The sequence below is a fragment of the Homo sapiens genome, chromosome 19 (assembly GCF_000001405.40).
Source record: "Homo sapiens chromosome 19, GRCh38.p14 Primary Assembly".
NCBI classification, from domain to species: Eukaryota; Metazoa; Chordata; class Mammalia; order Primates; family Hominidae; genus Homo; species Homo sapiens.
Genome location: NC_000019.10, coordinates 43,625,582 through 43,644,297, shown reverse-complemented (window position 1 = coordinate 43,644,297; position 18,716 = coordinate 43,625,582). Strand labels below are relative to the sequence as shown.

At 52.9% G+C, this 18,716-nt stretch overlaps 1 protein-coding gene and 1 long non-coding RNA gene across 8 annotated transcripts in view, besides 1 other annotated feature; one reads left to right on the top strand and one right to left on the bottom strand.

The window, feature by feature from the left end:
* The window catches only part of CADM4 (cell adhesion molecule 4), a 19,617-nt gene continuing 3,214 nt past the window's right edge, over nucleotides 2,314–18,716 (top strand). For 3 of the 4 annotated variants that reach the window (XM_005258620.3, NM_145296.2, XM_047438387.1), the window contains exons 1-6: nucleotides 4,448–4,571; nucleotides 16,508–16,654; nucleotides 16,980–17,132; nucleotides 17,380–17,514; nucleotides 18,010–18,174; nucleotides 18,297–18,387. In XM_005258620.3, coding sequence (XP_005258677.1) covers nucleotides 4,508–4,571; nucleotides 16,508–16,654; nucleotides 16,980–17,132; nucleotides 17,380–17,514; nucleotides 18,010–18,174; nucleotides 18,297–18,387 — 755 coding nt within the window. In that variant the 5' untranslated portion in view covers nucleotides 4,448–4,507. Of the gene's footprint in view, nucleotides 2,336–4,447; nucleotides 4,572–16,507; nucleotides 16,655–16,979; nucleotides 17,133–17,379; nucleotides 17,515–18,009; nucleotides 18,175–18,296; nucleotides 18,388–18,716 lie in introns of those variants that run through there. The other variant, XM_017026452.1, reaches the window with a different exon arrangement.
* Nucleotides 4,425–4,564: a silencer, noted in NCBI's record as "silent region_10725". NCBI's record gives its function as "represses an Ori minimal core promoter by ATAC-STARR-seq in GM12878 lymphoblastoid cells {active_cell/tissue: GM12878}" and the evidence as "EXISTENCE:reporter gene assay evidence [ECO:0000049][PMID:35858748]".
* LOC105372411 (uncharacterized) overlaps nucleotides 9,280–18,716 on the bottom strand; it is a 15,958-nt gene continuing 6,521 nt past the window's right edge. Inside the window, exons 1-4 of one of the 4 annotated variants that reach the window (XR_001753943.2) lie at nucleotides 16,738–16,985; nucleotides 15,311–15,514; nucleotides 11,874–12,790; nucleotides 9,280–10,238 (exon numbers count right to left, since the gene is read on the bottom strand). This is a non-coding gene — a long non-coding RNA (uncharacterized LOC105372411). Of the gene's footprint in view, nucleotides 10,239–11,873; nucleotides 12,791–15,310; nucleotides 15,897–16,737; nucleotides 16,986–18,716 lie in introns of those variants that run through there. The other 3 variants (XR_007067263.1, XR_001753942.2, XR_935978.3) reach the window with 3 other exon arrangements.

The window sequence follows — 18,716 nt, the reverse complement described above, 5'->3', positions numbered from 1 at the left end:
TCCCAGTGACTCGGGAGACTGAGGCGGGAGGATCGCTTGAGCCTCGGAGGCAGAGGTTTCAGTGAGCTGAGATTATGCAACTGAACTCCAGCCTGAGCGACAAAGTGAAACTGTCTCAAAAAAAAAAAAAAAAACAAGAAAAAAACCCACCTTATTTCCAAATAAAGTCACATGCAAAGATACCAGGGGTTAGAAGTTAATCACATCTGGGCAGGATGCAGTGCCCCATGCCTATAATCCCAGCACTTTGGGAGGCTGAGGTGGCAGATCATTTGAGGTCAGGAGTTCGAGACCAGCCTGGCCAACATGGTGAAACCCCGTCCCTACTGAAAATACAAAAATTAGCTGGGCATGGTGACACGTGCCTATAATCCCAGCTACTTGGGAGGCTGAGGCAGGAGAATCGCTTGAACCCAGGAGGTGAAGGTTACAGTGAGCCGAGATCATGCCACTGCACTCCAGCCTGGGTGACAGAGCGAGACTCAGTCTCGAGCAAACAAACAAACAAACAAAAAAGTGAATTACATTTGCAAAGATTTTATTTCCAAATAAGGTCACATGTACAGATACCAGGGGCTAGAACTTCAACATATATTTTACTTGGAGGACACTATTCAAAACCCACAACACCAACCACCAGCCTTAGATATATGGCCCTTGATGCCCCTCCCCTCCATCTCCAGCTGTTCCAGCTAGTTCATTTTTGGCTCCAGTTCATCATGAAGCAGATACACACCAATCCTGCTCCAATTCCTGACTCACAGAATCATAAAATTAAAAGGTTGTTGTTTCACACCACTACGTTCTGGGGTATTTTGTTATTCAGCGATGGTTAAATGGAACAGTAATTTTTGTTTGTTTTTAGCTAACTTTCCCCATTATAATTGCCAGGGAGGGTAAGGCCGTTTATTTACTTGATGATTTATTCCTAGTGCCTGGAATATGGCAGGTGATGAAGAAAGAAAGGAGAGAAGGGACTGGGTGCAATGGCTCTTGCCTGTAATCCCAGCACTTTGGGAGGCCAAGGCAGGAGAACTGCTTGAGCCCAGGAGTTCAGGACCAGCCTGGGCAACATAGCGAGAGACCCTGTCTCTACATAATAAAAAAAAAAAAAAAGAAAGAAAGAAAGAAAAGAAAAAAGGGAAGGAAGGAAAGACTGCATCTTCTATGGCAACTTACAACAAAAATTGGGCCAGAAGTATATCTCCCATGATGCCCTACAGCAGAGATGAGGCTAAAACGACATTTTCTGAGATGCTCTGTATTATAATTGAGGATAATTTCACCTTTCCCATAATTCCCTACAACATATTGAGGCTAGGACTGCATTGCCTATGAAACTCTATGGCAGAGATTGAAGGTTAGGATTATATATCCCATGATGCCCTACAGTGGGGATCAGAGGATAGAAATACTTATTCCATGATGCCCTCCAGCAGATATTGAGGCTAGGGACAAATTTCTCACGTCCTATACCATAGCTTGTGATCAGGACCTCATTGTTAACGGCTCTGAAGTTGTTGTTCAGGAATCTTTGCTTGCAAGAAATAAAATCTGTTTGTGCTGACTTAAGCAAAAACGGTGTTATTGAAAGTTTAGAAACCAGGCAAGAGCTAGGTCTCCGAGTCTCACCAGGGACAGGCAACAATTGAAAAGCTGTGTGAAATAAAGGTTGTCTCTCTCTTGCAGAATCTTAATCACCCCAAATATGAATCTGGCCCCAGGGGTATCTGCCAGCCATCTTGCTACAGGAGGGGAGCCATGCATCCTTAGGACAGAGATTGACAGACCTCGCCAAAGCCAGCCATAGAAGGACTTTTTGTTATGTGTGAACCAGTTCTCTTTCTCTCAAACCAGTTGGGTTGCACTTGCTGTCACTTGCACTAAATCCCTAATGGACAGGGTACCCTGAAGTAGGATGGGGACAGGACCACTATTCTATTTATTATTATTATTATTATTATTATTATTATTATTATTATTATTTAGACTGAGTCTCATTCTGTCACCCAGGCTGGAGTGCAGTGGCATGATCTTAGCTCACTGCAACCTCTGCCTCCCAAGTTCAGGGGATTCTCATGCCTCAGCCTTCCGACCAGCTGGGATTACAGGCACGTGCCACCACGCCTTGCTAATTTTTTTTTTTTTTTTTGGTAAAGATGGTGTTTCACCATGTTGGCCGGTTGGTCAGGCTGGTCTCAAACTCCTGACCTCAAGTGATCGGCCCACCTTGGCCTCCCAAAGTGCTGGGATTACAGGTGTGAGCCAACGCGCCCGTCAGGACCACTACTCTTGTGATGTCTTCACATGGAATGGTGGGACTTAAGGATGACAGGTGAGAACCAAACCAACATCTCCCAAGGTTCCCCTTCAGCTGGAGCAGGAGACATCTGTCAGAGCACAGAGTGAGCGGGCCTATTGGCTCCTGCGGGAAAAGGCAACTACTAGTTACCCCTTGGACCAGTATTCCAAAGGCAGATCAAACATTCCTCTCCCATCTAGCAAAAGTCACAGAATGTGAGCCCTGGAAAGAGGATTAGAGACTATCTCTTCCCAAGTCTACAGAAGCTGGGAAGCTGAGGACTGAAAAAGAAGGAAGTTGCTCAGGGCTATGGATCTGGGGACACAGGGGCAGTTAGAAGCTTGGGCTCTCAGGACAGAGAGGATTGCTGGAGCCATCGTCCTGGGGACACAGGAGTTGATAGGAGCTTGGACCCTGAGGACAGAGAGGATGCTGGGAGCCATGGTCCTGCTTCACAGGGGTTGATGGGAGCTTGGACCTGAAGGACAGAGAGGATGCTGGGAGCCGTGGTCCTGAGGACACAGGAGTTGATGGGAGCTTGGACCCTGAGGACAGAGAAGACACTGGGAGCCATGGTCCTGGGACACAAGGGTTGATGGTAGCTATGGTTTTGAGGTCAGAAAGGATACTGGGAGCTGGGTACTGAGGACAGAAAGGGTGTGTGAAGCTGAAGTCCCTTGTGGGACTGGATGTAAAATTTTTTAGTCGGAATAAAAAGTAAGGATTTTCAGCCAGGCATGGTGGCTCACGCCTGTAATCCAGCACTTTGGGAGGCCAGACAGATGGATCACCTGAGGTAAGGAGTTCAAGACCAGCCTGGCCAGCATGGCAAAACTCCGTCTCTACTAAAAATATAAAAATTAGCTAGGCATGGTGGCGGGCGCCTGTAATCTCAGCTACTCGGGAGGCTGAGGCAGGAGAATCACTGGAACCTGGGAGGCAGAGGTTGCAGTGAGTCGAGATCGTGCCACTGCACTCCAGCCTGGGCAACAGAGCGAGACTCCGTCTGGGCGGGGAGGGGGGAGGGGGGAAGGAAAGATGTTCATAATTGGCACTTCTGGACCTCAGTTTGCCTGACAAATGGGCATGAGAGAGGTCGAGGCCTTCTTTCCATGGTTTCTCACTCTTTCTGGGTCCCATAGGTAATGATCCCGCATCAGGTCTACAGGGTGTCACAGAAGTGGGCTCAGGGAAACCCACTCCCAGGAGGGAGAAGGGACCTAAGTCTGGAGGGGTGAGTCACCCTCAAAGATGGGGAGAGAGGAAGGGCAGAGGCAAATACATGCAGAGAGAGGGAGAGAGGCTGGGGCAGGGAGACAGCAGGGAGGAGAGGGGACGCCAGGGCTTGGAAGGTGTTCACAGGAGCCTCTCCCTCCTGGGACCCAGGATTCAGGCTTCCTTCCAGTTAGTTCACTTTCAGGGGGCCCCTCCCGGAGAATGACGCGGAAACACGGGGTTTTCAGGTCAGGACAGGAGAGAGGGAGGGAGGGAACTGACCCCACCCCACTCCTGAGCCCCAGCCTCGCCCTGCCCTGGGAGATCCTTGACCTGCCTCGACCTCCGGACCCTCCGGACCTCCAGCTGCAGCCTCCCCTGTCCCGGTGGCTCAGCTCACAGCCTCTCGCTAGACTCCAGACACCCACCTGCCCGCAGCACGCCTCTCACACTCACCTTTCCCACGTCGCACTCCCTCCCTTACGCTCCCCCGTCACGCTGGCCACGCTCTCCCTTCGCACACACCGCACCCCACGACGCCCGCGCCCCCACCCTCGCACAGCCTCCAGCAACACCCTGCCACCCTCCCCTCCGCGCAGCGCAAGCACCCTGCATGCCAGCAACTCCGCACCCTCGCGCGCAGCACCTGGGCCCGCACGCAGCACCCTCACCCAACACCCTCCATTTCCCGCGCTCACCGAGATCCCCCACCTGCTCCCACGCCGCTGTCGCCCTCCCGCGCACCCCTTCCCGCCCTCCTCACCCCTCTCCTCTCCAGCTTTCGCACCCCGCACCGTTCCCCCACCGTGCCGTCCCCCCGATTGTCTCCGGGCCTCTCCTCCGTCTCCCCCTCCCCTCCCCGGCCCCGCCCCGGCCTCGGCGCCCCGCCCCCGGGCGGGCAGGGGGCGGGGCGCGGGGGGCGGGGCGGGCGGCGCGGGCGGTGCAGGTGCCGGGCCGGGAGCGAGCGGCGGCGGCGGCGGCGGCGGCACCATGGGCCGGGCCCGGCGCTTCCAGTGGCCGCTGCTGCTGCTGTGGGCGGCCGCGGCGGGGCCAGGTAGGGTCGGGGGCCGGGGTCGGCCGGCCGGGCTGGGGCGGGGGGCGCGCTGTGGTGACAGCCCGGCAGCCTCGGGGCCGCAGAGGCCGAACAATGCGCGCGGGGCCGGGCCGGGCCCCCTCCCCGGGACAAAGCGCAGCGCGGGCCGGGAGCCGGGAGCGACGAGCGGGGGAGGGGGCGCGGGGCCCGGCCGCCGTGCCGCAGCCCCCCCACCCGCGCAGGCTGGATCCCGGCGGGGACAAAGGGCCCGAGACCCCCCTACACACACAAGTCCGCCCTCCCCAGGCCGGTCCCGCTGTCCTTCTGTCCAGTCTCTGCGTCCCTCTGTCCGCCCGTCTCTGAACCCCCCCGTCTGGCTCCTCGTCCCCCTACCCTTGTCCTCTATCCCTCAGTCTCGAAGTCCTGTCCCTCCTTCTGTCTGTCTCCCTCTCTTCTTGCCTCGGTGTTCCTCATCTATTCTGTCTTTGTCCCCTACCTCTGTCCCCTGGTCTCTGTCCCCTTTTCCTGGGTCACTCTGTCCCCTCCATCATCCTGTCTATTCTCTTTCCCCCGGATTTCTGCCCTCCCTCTCTGCCCCTATTCTTGGTCCCTGTCTCTGTCTCGCTGTCACCCTTGTTTTTCTGTCCCTTTTTCTCTGTCCCCTATCTGCCCCATCCCCTTGTCTCTGTCCCCTGTCTTTCTGTCACTCGTTTCTCTAACCCTTTCTGTCACCTGTCTCTTTCCCCCTTCTCTGTCCCACTATCTCCATCCCTGTCTTTCTGCTGTGCCTCCTCTCTCTACGCTTACAGCCTCCATCCCGGGATCTCCCATTCCCATCCTACCTTCCTCCCTCTCTCTATCCCTCTGTGCCCCTGAAGAGGAATTCAGTCAGGCAGGGCATTCTAAAGAGCCCTGGAGGGGAACATCTGTGTGCATGTGTGTGGGGAAGTGAGAATGGGGGACCTTGGCGTGTAGGCACACACGTGGATTCAGCGAATGCCTCTCCAAACCCTGCTCACCCATTCACACACCCAGGCTTGACTCACAGAGAAGCCCCTGTCCAGGACATCCAGGGAGCCATCCACATACCCTCATCACACACTGTGAGAAGCTGGAGACCCCCGAGGTTGGGTGACCCTGAGAATGGGGACAAGGTCAGGAAATGTCACCCACACACACTCTCACACTGTGTAAGTCTTGAACCTGCCACGGGTCACCCCTCCCTGGTGGATAAGGCCACTTTTGGAAGGAACAGAGGATTGGAAGGTGGCTAGGCAGAAGCAGGAGGGCTGGGTGTTCGGCAGAGATTGGTGAGAGGAGTTATAACCAGGTGGCATGGGGCTGGCGGCCTGGGCTTAAATCTTGGCTCTTGCCATTTGCCATCGCAGCCAATGGTAAACACCTTCCTCTCTCCAGGCTTCTGTTTCTCTTTCTGTAAAGTGAGGATGTTGAACTCAGTGACATGAAAGGGAACGCCAGCTCAGACCGTGAAGGGGTTTCTGGCAAGTTGAGTGCGGTTACATGTTCCCCACTCCAGGGTTTGAGGCAGAGCCATCCTCACCTCGGCCAGGATGAGGGGCAAAGCTGTCCTCTCACTGTCTTTCTTTCTTCTCTAGTCTTCTGTGACTGCTTTAGAACTTGCATCATTACCTCCTTTCTTTACAACAGACATGCCACAATTTCCCAGATGAGAACTTTGGTACCTCAGTGACATTTCCATCAATTTTAATTTATCTTTATTTTTTAGGCTAAACACCAGGCTCATAGAATCCTGGAACTAATGAATCCAGTAAATAAAGAACCTGATGGTACTTTAGAATGCTGACATCTACAGGATTCTAGAATCCAGAAGGCTTTAGAATCTTGACACCTTTAAAGTTCTAGAACCGTGATGGTGTTAGCATGCTAGCATCTTGACGTCTTAAAAATCGTGAAATCTTGATGTCTTGGAGTTCCTGGATCTTGACATCTATGACATTTAGAATCCTGACAGCTTAGAATCATCAGACTTTGAATTCTCAGGATCAGAATATAGCTTAAGGTGACCACCCGCCCCGTGCAAAAGCCTTTCTCTGGTGCTTCTGGGAGTTAGGTCTACAGCCCTGTCCCTCGTTTGATTTCCAAGTCACTGCTTCCTGGCACCCTAACCCTCTCTGTAAACTTTCTCTAAAGTAAATAGTATGTGGCTTTTACCAGTAGAAACTGAGCTTGGTGTCATGGGAAGAGCTCTCAGCTGGGAGCTAAGGAACTTGGGTCCAAGCCTTACCCAGGACCCTTTAGTATAATTTTGCATCAGTCCTTGTCCCTCTCTGGGCCTTACTTTCCCGTTCTGTAAAGCATGGGGTAGGAGGCTGTAGCATGTGGTCTTGGAGGGCCCTTCCTGCTCTCCTTTCCATTGGATATTTCTCAGTGGCCTTGGCTACCACATTTTAGGGGGTATCTGTTGTTCCCACATTTCTCTCTTAGTCACTTCTTCCTCTCTCACCTTGCCCAGCCAGCAGGAATCGGGGGAGATGGGGTGCATTTGCGCCATTTTAAAAACATGTTCTCTCTCTCCTGGTTCATTCATCTTCTGAGCATAGCAGAAGAAGATGAGATTTATGCCCAAAGAAGGATCCAGGGTGGGCAGAGGAGAGAAAGCAAGAGGGAGGGATGGGTTGCCTGCCCAGGGATGCACCCAGGCAGAAATGGGACCCGCAGCCAGAAACTGGGTAGAACAGAAAGGAGGAGAGGAAACAGATATCCAATACAAAGAAAGAATAGAGAGGCTATTAGGAGTTGAGGGGTCTTGTGGAGGGGGCAGTTGTTGGTCCCTAAATAATGTTTCCTTCCCAGGGTGACTCACTTTTTCCTGCTAAAATTCTGACCAGCCACTCTTGAGAATAGGGGGACCCTCCCTCCATTGTGAGTCACCCCAAGGAACAGGTTTTGGAGGTTTCTATCACTGACCCCCCCACCCACCCACCCATGAGCCAGGCGCCTGTGTCCCCAGAGCCTGGGGGTGGGGGTCAGGTTCTGCAGTGGATTCCAAGACCTTAGACACAGCAGGGCTGGGGCCTAAGGCTGGGTTAATGTCGTGCGAGCCTGGCCTGTCCCCATCTTGGAGAACACAAAGGCAGCTTTCTCTCTCTGGGAGGGGTGGGGGGTGGCCTGGAGACAGTCAGACCCGCCAGCATCCAATGGCCTGTGGCATCAGAACGGAAGCACCCACTGATTTCCGCCTGTGCAGACCCCAGGCCCATAGGGAGCAGGCACGCAGGCTCCTCCGTGGGCACCCAGTGGGGCAAGGGGCAGGTGCTGAGCCTGGGCTCTTCTGGGAAGAGGGGGTGAATAGAGGGCACTGGGCGTGGAGGTTCGGACAGAGGGAGCTCAGTGCAGGCCTGCACCCTTCCCGGAGCAGGAATTCCTCTCGTACCCCACACCCAGGGAGGACCTCTGGGGGACTCCCCACTCCCTGGCTGGGCCTGAGGCCTGGAATCCAGGGAGTCCCGAATATCCCAGGAATGTGGGGGCCACAGCGGGGACTTTGTGTGTGAGGTTGCTGACTCACCCCTACGCCCCCACCTGATGCCTAGGTCCCCAGATGGGAGGGGACAGAGGATTGAGGAAAGGCAGGACTGTGCTTCTAGGGGTTGAGGACTGGGGAGTTAGAGTCAAAAGTTTTCAGGAGAGGAGGGGCTGGATCTGATGGAGGAGGGGCTGGGGGCCTGGACTCCTGGGTCTGATGGAGGAGGGTCTGGGGGCCTGGACTAATGGGTCTAAAGGAGGAGGGAGCTAGGGTCTTAGACTCCTGGGTCTCAAGGAGGAGGGGGCTGAGGTCTTAGGCTCCTGGGTCCAGGGAGGAGGGGGCTGGGGTCTTAGACTCCTGAGTCTGAGGGAGGAGGGGCTGGGGTCTTAGACTCCTGAGTCTGAGGGAGGAGGGGCTGGGGTCTTAGACTCCTGGGTCTGAGGGAGGAGGGGCCTGGGATCTTAGACTCCTGAGTCTGAGGGAGGAGGGGCCTGGGGTCTTAGACTCCTGAGTCTGAGGGAGGAGGGGCCTGGGATCTTAGACTCCTGAGTCTGAGGGAGGAGGGGCCTGGGATCTTAGACTCCTGAGTTTGAGGGAGGAGGAGGCTGGGGTCTTAGACCCCTGGGTTTAAGAGAGGAGAGGGCCGAGGGCTGGAACTCCTGTGTCCGGAAGGAAAAGGGGGCTGGGAGTCCACACTCCTAGGTCTTGAGGGAGGAAGGGATGAGGATACAGACTCCTGGGTCCTGAGGGAGGAAGGGGCTGGAGGCGGGGGATTCCACTGCAGGTTTCTGAGGGAGGAGGGGCTGAGACCCTGACGCCTAGGTCCTGCGAATACAGGCGCCTTCACAAGGCTGAGCTGGGGAAGAATTGACGCTTTGTGCGAGGATGTTCGGACTCCGCCATTGATGGGGGGCTGAGGGGGGTTCAGTCAGGACGCAGGGATGTACCACCTCCCTAAGGGAGGAAGGGGGAAGGAGGCAGGATGCCAGGAGCCCCCTGGGGAGCGGATACAGAGGGGGTGGTGGTGACCTTCCCGGAACTATGACCTTGAGACTCCCTTGGGTATTCGCTGACTCAGGACCCAGGAAGCGCTCCCCCCACCCTGCTTAGTCTCCGTGGAAACATCCACCAGCTGTGTACTCTGGACCCCTGGCTCCTGGGTCCTGAAGGAGGAGGGGGCTGGAGGCCCAGACTCCTGTGTCTAAGCTAGGAGAGGGCTGGGGGCTCTGACTCCTAGGTTTGAAGGAAGGGGCTGCTGACAGCCCAGACTCCTGGGTCCTGATCGAGAAGGGGGCTAGGGGTCTGGATTTCGGGAACCTGAGAGAGGAGGTGGTTGGGGGCTGAATTCCTGGGTCTAAGGCGGAAAGAAGCCGGGGTTCCAGACTCCTGGAACCTGATGGAGGAGGGGCTGGGAGCCTAGACTCCTGGGTCCTGGGAGAGGAGGTAGTTGGGGGCTGGATTCCTGGGTCTTACGCATTACCTGCTCCGCCACTCTTTCCCAAACCCTCCCTGTCCCCTTTTCCAAGCACCATCCCCATGACGACTCCTGGCTGTCAACACAGTTTAAAGGGCCAGTGCCTCAGTCCCCAAAGCTCAGCCCCTCTCTGACCAGAAAGTCCCGCCCCCACCACCCCCAACCCCCCAAACAAAAGCTGCTGAGACATTAATATTCCAGGCACAGACACTGTTGGTTACTGACTCCTCAGGAGGGGGAGGGAGTAAAACAAAAGACCCCCACCCTCACCCCATGTGCACCCTCAAGCAGAGAGCAGGGGATAAATTTGGTGGGGGCAGATCCAGAGGAACCTGATGGCTCCCAGGAGATGGTGAGTTTTGCCACTGACTTGCCTGGGACCCGCTAAGCCTCATTCTCCACATCTGTAAAATGGGGGGCTAGCACTGAACCAGTCTTGAGGTCCAGGATCTGTGGATAGGCTTCGAGATGTTTTTAAAAGCACCAGAATGTGCATGCCAGTTTTCACATGCATGGGCATGTTTCCGGAGGTTGCACTAAAACAGCCTTGCAGAGAGGGCTCCCTGAGCTTCAGGAGCGGGGCTCATCCTTATGAGGCAGGCACTGGCATCATTCCCATTTTATAGATGGGGCAACTGAGGCTCCGAAAGGTAAGGTCACTTGCCCACAGGTCACACAGATGGCAAGTGGTTGAGCTGGGATCAACCTAGGTGTTTAAGATGAAAATAATGATGTCACAAAGTTGTCGGGCTGAAATGAGATTCTGTCTGGGCCAGCTGCAATGGCTCATGCCTATAATCCCAGCACTTTGGGAGGCCAAGGCAGGGGGATTGCTTGAGCCTAGGAGTTCAAGACCAACCTGGGCAAGATATTGAGACCCCCATCTCTAAAAAAAAAAAAAAATTTTTTTTTTTTTAATTAGCTGGGCATAGCTACGCACCTCTGTAGTCTTAGCTATTTGGTAGCCTGAGGTGGGAGGATCGCTTGAGCCCACATGTTCAAGGTTGCAGTGAGCCATGATTGCACCACTGCACTCTAGCCTGGGTGACAGAGCGAGACCTTATCTCAAAAAAAGAAAAAAGAAAGAAAGAGAAAGAAAGAGAGAGAGAAAGAGAGAAAGAAAAAAGAGAGAAGAAAGACGAACAGATATCCCATCTGACACATGTAATTCATGTAGCAAGTTCCCCAGACACTTATCAGGTGCCAAGCACTCTTCTGGGTACTAGGGGTGCAGCAGTAAACCCATTGGATTATATCCCTGCCTTCCTAGAGTATACATTCCAGTCATGGGTGACAAACAGACAGTAAACAAATAAGCAAATTAATCTGATAATTCCAGTGAAATCTTCATAGAAGAAATAAAGCAATGGTGAGGAAATAGCAAGTGTTCTGGGCCAGGCGCAGTGGCTCACGCCTGTAATCCCAGCACTTTGGGAAGCCGAGGCAGGAGGATCCTTTGACCCCAGGAGTTGGAGACCAGCCTGGGCAACATGGAGAATCTGTGTCTCCACAAAAAGCACAAAAATTAGCCAGGTGTGGTGGGAGGAGCCTATAATCTCAGCTACTTAGGAGGCTGAGGTGGGAGGATGGCTTGAGCCCAGGAGTTCGAGGCTGCAGTGAGCCATGATTGCACCACTGCACTCCAGCCTGGGTGACAGAGCAATACCCTGTCTCTTTTTTTTTTTTTTTTTTTTGAGACAGAGTCTCTCTCTGTCACCCAGGTTGGGGTGCAGTGGCTCAATCTCGGCTCACTGCAACCTCTGCCTCCTGGGTTCAAGCAATTCTGCCTCAGCCTCCTGAGTAGCCCGGGCTACCACTGCCTAGCTAATTTTTGTATTTTTTTAGTAGAGACGGGGTTTCGCCACGTTGGCCAGGCTGGTCTTGAACTCCTGACCTGAGGTGATCTGCCCGCCTTGGCCTCTCAAAAGTGCTGGTATTACAGGCGTGAGCCACCGCACTGGGCTGACTTTGTCTCTTAAAAGAAAAGAAAGTGTTCTAAAGGTGAAGGGATGAGCAGTGAGGGAAGGCCTCTCTGAGAAGGTACTGATATGATTTGAGACCCAAATGGGAACAGGAGTCAGCCCTGGGAAGATGGGGCTTGGGAGGTGGGGAGAAGAACATTCCAGGCAGAAGGAAGAAAAGGGAAAAGGCCCTGTGGTGGGAGCGAGCTCAGCATGTTTGAGGGACAGCAAGGCTAGCGAGCCCAGAGTGAAGTAAGGTCAGCAAGGGGCCAGGCCATATAGCACCTTGAAGTCCCCGGGAAGGGGTCTCTATTTTATTCTACATGTTACGGGCAGCCCTCGGAGGGTTTTAAGCAGAAAGGTGAATTGATCTGATTTACCTCTTTGAAAAATCGATCCGGCCACTGGGTGGAGAATGGCCCTGGAGGAGGCAGACAGGGATGCAGACAGACCCACGAGTAGGCTTTTGCAGAGTCCAGGTGAGGGATGATGCTGGATGAGAGTGAGGGTAGGAGAGGCAGACAAAGGTGATGAGATCTGGGATATGTCTTGGAGGTAGAATGGACAGATGTTGCTGATGGAATGGATATTGGGGATGAGGGAAAGGGAGAGAACTTGAATGATTTCTAGGTTTTTGACCTGAGCAACCAGGTGGATGGTGGTGACATTTATTGAGATTGAGAAAATTTGGGGAGGAAAATATCTGGGGCAAGGATTGGACATGTTAAGCTTGATATTCCAGGAGGTGCTAGAAAAACCTCAAACAGTGGCTGAAATACCCAAAGTGCTATAGTTTCAGCTACTCATGAAGCTGAGGCAGGAGGACTGCTTGAGCATAAGAGTTTGAGTCCAGCCTAGGCAACATAGTGAGACCTCATCTCTAAAATAAATTAAAAAAATAAAAATACCCAAAGCGTTACACTAAAACATAAAAGAAGTCCAGAACTAGGAGTTGAGGGCTGTTACAGCAGCTCCACATCTTCACCAGAGACTCAGGCACCTTCCAGCTCTTGGTTCCGCCATCCCCACTGCTCTTGTCCTCATGGTTCAATATGGCTGCCTAAATTCCACGCGTCACACTGTTAGTTCCAGGTGGCACAAAGGTGACTCAGTAGAAAAAGGGTTTGTCCACCTGTTTCAGGAAGTCCTCCCAAAATTGTCACGCAACATTTTGGCTTATATCCAACTGGACAAAATTTTATCAGATGGCTTTACCTTGCTGCAAGGAGACTGAGGAATGCCTTTTTCTGCTGGACATAGTGCAACCATAAAATACAACCAGTGTTCTTTTCTTTTACTGAGGAGAAAGGGAAAAATGGATGTCAGAATAGGAAGCCAGAAGTCTCTGTCTCCATCCCCCAGAAATAATCTTTTCTACCCCTCAACTTCCAAATTAGGTTACCTACCCTCTTACAGAAAACATAACACTTTCTTTTATTTATTTCTTTTTTTTTTTTCTTTTTTGAAACGGAGTCTTGCTCTGTCACCCAGGCTGGACTGCAGTGGCGCGATCTTGGCTCACTGCAACCTCTGCCTCCCAGGTTCAAGCGATTCTTATGCCTCAGCCTCCTGAGTAGCTGGAATTACAAGCACCCACCACCACACCTGGCTAATTTTTGTATTTTTAGTACAGACGGGGTTTCACCATGTTGGTCAGGCTGGTCTCGAACTCCTGACCTTGTGATCCGCCCACCTCGGCCTCCCAAAGTGCTGGGATTACAGGTGTGAGCCACCGTGCCCAGCCACATAACACTTTTGATTACCGTGATTGGTTCCTACCTTCCCATAAATCTTAAAGGGCAGGGACCTCATCTAACTCATCTCTGACTACTCAGCCCCTGAAAACCTACGTGATGCTCAGGAAATACTCCTGAATGAATGCAACCCAGCACCTGAATGTAAAAGACATGGATAGTTATCCAGCACTTAAAGACAAATAGCCAGATCTAATCATGGCATATTCCTGCTTCAAAACCTTCACTGGCCCTTAGGATGAAAGCAAATCTCCTAGGTTGGCATTCGAGGCCCATCACAAGCGGCTCTCACAACCCCCTGCCAATGATGGACACTTAATCCAGACAGCCAGGAGTGGATATACAGATTCAGGATACAGAATCAGAGATTTGGACGAAGATTTTGGCACTGCCACTCTTGGCTGTGAACTTGGGCAAGTCATTTCATCTCTGTGGGCCAATTTTCTCACCTATAAAATGGGAATGGGAGCAGGACACGATAGCTCAAGCCTGTAATCCCAGCACTTTGGGAGGCCGAGGCGGGTGGATCACGAGGTCAGGAGTTCCAGACCAGCCTGGCCAAGATGGTGAGACCCCGTCTTTACTAAAAACACAAAGATTAGCCAAGTGCAGTGGCAGGTGCCTATAATCCCAGCTACTTGGGAGGCTGAGGCAGGAGAATTGCTTGAACCCGGGAAGTGGAGGTTGCAGTGAGCCGAGATCGTACCACTGCACTCTAGCCTGGGCGACAGAGCAAGACAATGTCTCAAAAAAAAAAAAAAAAAAAAAAGAAAAGAAAAATGGAAATGGGGGAAAATGGGGATAATAGTAGCGCAGGCCGGGCAAAATGGGGATAATAATAGCGCAGGCCGGGCACAGTGGCTCATGCCTGTAATCCCAGCACTTTGGGAGGCCGAAGCAGGCAGTTCACTTGAGCTCGCAAGTTCAAGACCAGCCTGGGCAACACGGTGAAACTCCGTCTCTAAAAAAATACAAAAGTTAGCCAGGTGTGATGTTGTGCACCTGTAGTTCCAGCTACTGGGGAGGCTGAGGTGGGATCACTCGAGCCTGGGAGGCAGACATTGCAGTGAGCTGAGATCGTGCCACTGCACTCCAGCCTGACCTTGTCTCAAATTAAAAATAATAATAATAATTGGCCAGGCGCGGTGGGTCGCACCTGTAATCCCTGGACTTTGGGAGGCTGAGGCAGGCGGATCACTTGAGGCCAGGAGTTCGAGACCAGCCAGGCCAATATGGCTAAACTCTGTCTCTACTAAAAATAAAAATTAGCCCGGCATGGTGGTGCATGCCTGTAATTCCAGCTACTTGGGAGGCTGAGGCTGAAGAATCGCTTGAACTTGGGAGGTGGAGGTTTCAATGAGCTGAGATCACACCACTGCACTCCAGCCTGGGCAACAGAGCAATACTCTGTCCCAAAATAATAATAATAATGATAATAATCATGTCTACCTTACACAGGGATTGTGAGGATTAAAGGTAAGTTATATGGGTAATGCCCTTAGCACAGGGACTAACACTGCAAGTACCTAATAATTGGTAGCTATGGGGGTTATTGTTATTTTGAAGACAACAGATGATGATATTAATGCTGATGATTAGTCTTGGCTTTCAGCTTTCCTAAATGCTTTTCTCTGATGGTTCTAGATTCCCCACCTTGTTTTTCTGATGGATTAATCAGGGTAGGTTAAAGGCTGTAACAGACACCCCTGAAATCTCAATGGCTTAACAAAAAGGTATATTTCTTGCTCATATCACAGTCCTATACAGGCGGGTCATGGGGGACAGTCAGTTAGAGACCCAGGTTCCTTCTGGCTTGTGATTCTGCCCTCCTCTAGGCTCCTTGGAGTCCTCTCTGTTCAGCCAGTGTGAAGGATTATGAGGGAGATGGGTCAGGCTGCAAGAGGTGTTTCTCTTCCACCTACATCCCATTGGCCAGAATTGGTCACATGGCCCCACCTAACTATAAAGGATGCTGGGAAGTATAGCCTAATTATGTATTGTATCAGTTAACTTTAGCAGTAGAACAGATCACCCACAACTTAGGAGCTTAAAACAACCACCACCTTATTTGTTCATGATTCTGGGGTTCAGCAGTTTGGGCTGTATCAGATGGGCAGATCTTTTATTGGTCTCAACTGGGGTCACTTGTGTGGCTGCTGTCAGCTGGTGGGGCAGCTGGGGCTGGATGATCCAGGATGGCCACACTCACACAGCTGGCGATTGGTGCTGGCTGCCGGCTGGGCTTCTCTTTCACCATGATTGTTCATCTGCAAAGACACTAGTCTGGGTATCTTCATGCAACAGTCTTAGGGCAGGAGTGGAAGCTACAAGGCCTCTTCAGGCCTAGGCTCAATATCACTTCTAGCAAATTCTATTGGTCAAAGCAACTCTCAAGGCTTACCCAGACTAGTAGGGGACAAAGTGCCTTCTCAATGGGAGGAATGGCAAAATCAACTTGCAAAGGGCATGTCCAGGGACAGGAGAATATTACGGCTATCTTTGCAAACGGGCTACAACATGTGCCCAGGTGTGAAAGATGAGGCTTGGTGAACACACAGCAGTCTCCCACACCTTGTGAACTCCTGCTTACTCTTTTTTTTCTTTCTTTTTTTTTTTGAGACAGAGTCTCGCTCTGTCGCCCAGCCTGGAGTGCAGTGGCTCCATCTCGGCTCACTGCAACTTCCAACTCCCGGGTTCAAGCGATTCCCCTGCCTCAGCCTCCCGAGTAGCTGGGACTACAGGTGCGCACCACCACACCCAGCTAATTTTTTTTTTTTTTTTGTATTTTTAGTAGTGACAGGGTTTCACCATGTTGGCCAGGATGGTCTCTATCTCTTGACCTTGCGATCCGCCCACCTCGGCCTCTCAAAGTGCTGGGATTACAGGCATGAGCCACCGCGCTCAGCCTCCTGCTTACTCTTTAAGATCCAGATCCAATGGAGCTTTCTTGCAGAGCCCTCTCTGGCTACCCATCTCTCTAGGCAATTCTATAATAGTCCTCCCTTGCTCTGGGCTCCTAGTGTGCCCTGTGCTGCCCTCATTAGAGCATATTCTACTAAATCTTGACTGCAGCTCTTTTAGAGTAGGGAGCAGATTTCCTCCCTGTCCTGGACTCTAGCCTGCAGGAAATGTTCAGTGCAATGGAATGAATGAGGGGAAAGAGAGGGATTGGAGGTTTGGATGGGGAAGAGGGAGAAAGAAAAAATTGAATTGCAGCTCTCAGTAAGTCTTCTATCCTGTCTCTTTGTCTAATCGTCCAGGGGCAGGACAGGAAGTACAGACAGAGAACGTGACAGTGGCTGAGGGTGGGGTGGCTGAGATCACCTGCCGTCTGCACCAGTATGATGGGTCCATAGTTGTCATCCAGAACCCAGCCCGGCAGACCCTCTTCTTCAATGGCACCCGTGGTGAGTGCTGGGGACCAGACTCAGGAGTCTTAAAGGAAGAGAGGGCTGGGGCCCAGGCTCCCATGTCCTGAAAGAGGACACACCTGAGAGTTTGGTCTCCTGGGTCTCGGAGAAGAAAGGGCTGGGGTCCCGGACTGCTGGTCCTGCAGGCAGGAGGACTTGAATAATGCTGGGTCCTCAAGGGAGTAAATAGTTGGACACCTCAGACTCATAGATATGGCTGGAGAAAAGAGGCAGAGGGCTGGACTCTAAGCTCCTGTCGGAAGGGTGGGACTTGTGAGGCCAGGACTCCCGAAATTCACACCTTCCCCCTCACTCTCTCTAGCCTTGAAGGATGAGCGTTTCCAGCTTGAGGAGTTCTCCCCACGCCGGGTGCGGATCCGGCTCTCAGATGCCCGCCTGGAGGACGAGGGGGGCTATTTCTGCCAGCTCTACACAGAAGACACCCACCACCAGATTGCCACGCTCACGGTACTAGGTAACGCCCTCCCCCTTGTCAGACGCATCCTCTCCTCCTTTCTTCTCTGCTTCTCTCTTCTCCTGAGACTTTCAGACCATGGCTATTTTTAACATCCTGGATGGGCATCTGGCTCCTGACCTCTCCCCTTTGACCCCTGCCACCTGGGACCCTGGTTCCCTATGGTCGCTGGGAACAGGCAGCTCGATCGCTTTGAGCCCACGTTCGTGCCTTCTTTAACCCCTTACTTCCCTTCTCCCTGCGGCAGTGGCCCCAGAGAATCCTGTGGTGGAGGTCCGGGAGCAGGCGGTAGAGGGCGGCGAGGTGGAGCTCAGCTGCCTCGTTCCGCGGTCCCGTCCGGCTGCCACCCTGCGCTGGTACCGGGACCGCAAGGAGCTGAAAGGTACCCTGGGCCGAGTGCTGACAAGGGATGGGGAGGAGGTGGGACTTAGGAGAGGTTGTTTATATGTGGAGAGGAGCCACAGGTTTTCACAGACACTGGACATTCAATATGTAGTGGTTGATGTCGAGCGCGGTGGCTCACGCCTGTAGTCCTAGCACTTTGGGAGGCTGAGATGGGAGGATTGCTTGAGGTCAGGAGTTCAACCTGCCCAACATTGTGAGACCCTGTCTCTAAGTATATATATAAATTTATGTTTTTATATATATAGCAATTAAATGGATTGATAGACGAGAAAGCATGAGCGTGAAAGAGGGAAGAGCTTTGGGAGGAGGCACGTGGGCTTGGTTAGGGGAGGGGCGTAGCTTGGAGGACAAGAGGCGGGGCCTGTGGGTAAGGGGTGGAGCTTGGCAAATAGCCTGCTTTGGCGTTGGCTCGGGTGGGTGGGTGGATGGAGCCGGAATTGTGGCCTGACAGTGTCTGACCGGGGTGTGGCAGGAGTGAGCAGCAGCCAGGAAAATGGCAAGGTCTGGAGCGTGGCAAGCACAGTACGGTTTCGTGTGGACCGTAAGGACGACGGTGGTATCATCATCTGTGAGGCGCAGAACCAGGCGCTGCCCTCCGGACACAGCAAGCAGACGCAGTACGTGCTGGATGTGCAGTGTAAGTGACCGGCGGGCCAGGACCCAAGGGATCCCAACGCCAGCCACCCGCACCCGCGAGGGTCCCCCTTGTCCTGCGTGATGGCTTGGAAACTACTCTCTCCTCTTACTTTTGCCTAACAGACTCCCCCACGGCCCGGATTCATGCCTCCCAAGCTGTGGTGAGGGAGGGAGACACGCTGGTGTTGACGTGTGCTGTCACGGGGAACCCCAGGTGAGCTCTGGGGGCCTCCTGCGTCCTCAGGAGGAGAAAGCTGGGGACCTGGAAGAACAGGGACCAGGGACTTGGACTCCTGGGTCCTAAGGAGGAGAGAGCTGAGGACCTGGACAAACAGGGAGCTAGGACCTGGATTCCTGGGTCCTGAGGAGGAGAGAGCTGGGGACCTGGACGAATAGGGATCTGGGACCTGGACTCCTGGATCCTGAGGGAGGAGGAATCTGGAGGCTCAGACTCCCCAATACTGAAGCTGTGCAGCCTCAGACTCCTGGTTGCTGAGGATGGAATGGCGTGGGAGGGCTAGAATTATTATTATTATTATTATT